General features: G+C 35.4%; 1 annotated feature.

Moving 5' to 3' along the window:
* Positions 423–612: a silencer, noted in NCBI's record as "fragment chr3:190686471-190686660 (GRCh37/hg19 assembly coordinates)". NCBI's record gives its function as "represses an EF-1alpha promoter that drives an FKBP-Casp9 reporter gene in an ReSE screen in phorbol 12-myristate 13-acetate-treated (for megakaryocytic differentiation) K562 erythroleukemia cells {active_cell/tissue: K562(+PMA)}" and the evidence as "EXISTENCE:reporter gene assay evidence [ECO:0000049][PMID:32094911]".

Genomic DNA, 3,487 nt, shown 5'->3' on the forward strand with positions numbered 1-3,487 from the left:
AATTGTGTTATACACACAGTCAAATACTACTCAGCAGTAAAAATAAATGAAATACAAATACACAAAATCACATGAATATATCTCAAAGCATCCTGTTAAGAAAAATAGCAAGACATAAAGAGTATATCCTGAGCATTTTCATTCACATGTACTGTAGTTCTAGAATAGATGAAAGTAATTTAGCATCATCGTGGTTGTTTTGTGTTTAGACTATGGATGAAATGACTAAGGCAGCATAAAAAAACTTGTCAAAGTGATGGAAATATGGCATATCTTGTTTGTGATAGTGTTTATACCAAATATGCACATATTTGTCAAAACTCCTCAAAATGTACCCTTAAAATGGCTGTATTTTATTGTATGCAAATTTTATATGAATGAAGTTGATTTCAAAGGACAACAACTGCAAAATTTTGGGGGATTCTCAGTGACCAAAGTTGCATGGTCAAGGTTATACGTGGCTCCTCCCTTCACATAGTACAGCAAAGCTCTTCTTATTCAGGCACCAACCAGCCAAGCAAGTTCTCCACCCAGGGTGCTGAGCTCTTAATGAAACCAGAAGCCAAAAGGTGAGCCTAAGCTGCCCCACAACTGCTTACTCTGAAAAAAGGCACCAACACCCCTCCAGAGGTAATCTTCTTAAAGACATAAATTCACAGGAAACACTTTTTGTGGGGTTTCTTCCCTGTTCAGACATTCCTGTAGTGTCTGATTTTTTTTTTCTCGTTCTGAGGTTTTGTTTTGTTTTTAATCCTTCTCAGTATGATGATAGATTTATAGGCCGGTAGGGTGGGCAAGTAGCTAGATTAATAAATTAGTTCATTCAGTATGTAACAGACTTAATCAATCCTAGAACACTATGTGAGCAAAGGGTAATAAATGGACAAATGGGGAGCCTAAGAGATTTTATTAAAAATGCAAGTTGAAGGGAGCCCTAGTGTCCTATCTTAATGTCACCATTATTCAATCCTCTTTGAGTTCATTTTCAAAGTATAGTGGCCAGGGAAAGAAAAGCTTTATTTGTGAAACATCAGCACTCAAATGAGAATATTTGCACTAAGAAGTAGCAATCTGAGCAATATCAGAATTGGTGGAGCAGAAAGTCTAGGAGATTGTGGTTAGACAAACCTGGGTTTCATGCTCATCTCCACTTTTTACTTGTTTAAGGAATACCAATATTTTGCATGATTGGAAAATAAATGAAGTTGCTTCATGTCTTGTTTTGGAAATCTTATTAAATATAAAAGAAATTTACAAATCAACATTACTGGAATAGTTAAGTATAAGCAATATACTTTGAATATATTTGCTGCTTAATAATTTTTTATGAAATGAAATTAAAAACAATCCACAAAGAGTCAGAGATAAAGATTGTCGTCCAGATACCTCATAATAATTGAGATTTGTTGAGTAATTGCTCAACTTTCAATACTTTCTAAATGTGAAAAACACTTATCTTTGTTAAACTTGACCAGTTTGGTTCATTTACTTGGTCAAGTTTCTTAACTTCCTTAGAGCTCATTTTTCACATCCGTAAAAAAGGCAAAGATTACCTAAAATCCAGCAAAGTGCCCGGAACCATTTTAGTTGTTTGTATCAAGGTTTTTGAATGGAGATAAAGAAGTAAGAATTTATTCTGTTTCCTCAGCTTGACATTGACTAGAAGCATGTAGTTCTCTATCTGAACAGCTTCTTATAAGCATTCAAAGGCCAGCTGCTGTTACTATATTGTCTTGTGCTAGGACCTTGTCATTGTTACTATTGGGAAAGAGTTGGCCCTACAACTTAGATAACTTAATAGCTCAATGAGATGGTGTTTAATTTTCTTTTGCTTATTCTTCCTAGATTTCTTATAAAAAAAAAACAAAAACAAACCAACAAACAGCAACAACAACAAAAAACACTGGCTGGCCACCAAAATTTACCAAATTAAGTCAGCGAACTTAAGAGATGATTTGATCCATGCTTACCATTGAGTTTCATCTAGTTCCAAAGCTAGCAATTGACTGACCAAACTTGCTCAATTAATATCCAAATTGGACACTGGAGCACTGGATAATACAACATAGATAATTAGAAAATTTATCATTGAAATCTGTTTTTTAAAAATATATGTCTGTGTAGCTGTCCTCTTGGTTCAGAATTACCTCTCCTCTGTACTTTGGACTTTCAGAAAACTCATGATTTTTAAAAAGAAAAGAGTTATATTTCTACCTAGGATGTAGAAAATAGAGAGATGGAAGAAATGTTACTTCCACATTACAAAATTGTTTTGTTTAATCACAAACATATGTGTGTATATCTATATATTATATGTATTATACATGCATACATAATATATACCTAAGATATATATATACACATCATATAAATGCTGTGTTTATACACATCTCATGTACTTATGTATAGCCTCACAGATTCAAACAAGAATATCTTGTATGAATAGTCTTGTATGAAAGACTCTGAGAGAAAGTGAAAGACTCTATGTGAGAGTTTTGAAAGAGAGCATTCTGAGTACCCAACTCTGTGGGTTTTACACCTCCTCCTATAATACCTCAATAACTTACTAAGCAAGTAAGATGACTTTTAGTTAATGTTTCCTGGAAATAAACAAATAAGAACTGTGTAAAAGAAGTTCATTAAAGATTGCATTTAGGAATGATGCCTGGAAGTAAGGGAAAATAAAAAGTTGCACTGTGATTAAGTTATCACAGAGGTCTCAGCCAAATCACCGGGCAGCTCTGAAGCTGGAATGGCTTTCTGGTGTTTCAAGATGAGGCAAGTTTCCAGAGCCTTCATGGCCCTGTTAGGACTAGTTATTGTACCTCTTATGCCCGTAGTGAAGGAGTGTAACTTTTGTGGAAACACAAATCCATTAAGTCTAGGGCAAGCACCAGAGAGGGTAGCAGCTATCGGCCATCAAGCTAAGAATCCTAGATTTTTGATAGCTAAGAGAATGAGTGTCCTGAAAGAGAGATCTGGGTGATAAAAGTAATATCCACTACAAGTCATCCCTTGCATTGCTTCCTATAGTAACTTTACTTCTTCTGTGTACAGCTTCTGCACGATTCTTATTGATATCATTTATTAATAATGTGTAAGAGGAAGGTTGGTGACTTGAACTATATAGCCTTTGCTGGTCTTGAAGCTTTAACTGATCTTCATTAGCTTTCTTCTTTACTATCTTCATCTGCGGCTATTACCTCTGCTGGTCTAGGTTTCTCACCTGATGGATACGTCCTTCCTCTGGGAACCCAGATCTGCAGATTTACAGAGCCTAAAGTTTTGAAAAAAAGCAAAAATGTCCAGGGTCACTGATAATAAGGTCCAGCAGAGACATTCCTACTTCAAGTCTGGTTCCCATACCCAAGTATTCTACCTACAGGGAAGCTAACATTATGTAATGGTTGTATCAGAGTGTAAGTGCACCCTGGAGGATAGTGCACCATACTTGCAGAATGGCACCTAGTGGTACTTTCAAAAGGCT

The sequence above is a fragment of the Homo sapiens genome, chromosome 3 (genome assembly GCF_000001405.40).
Source record: "Homo sapiens chromosome 3, GRCh38.p14 Primary Assembly".
Lineage (NCBI taxonomy): Eukaryota > Metazoa > Chordata > Mammalia > Primates > Hominidae > Homo > Homo sapiens.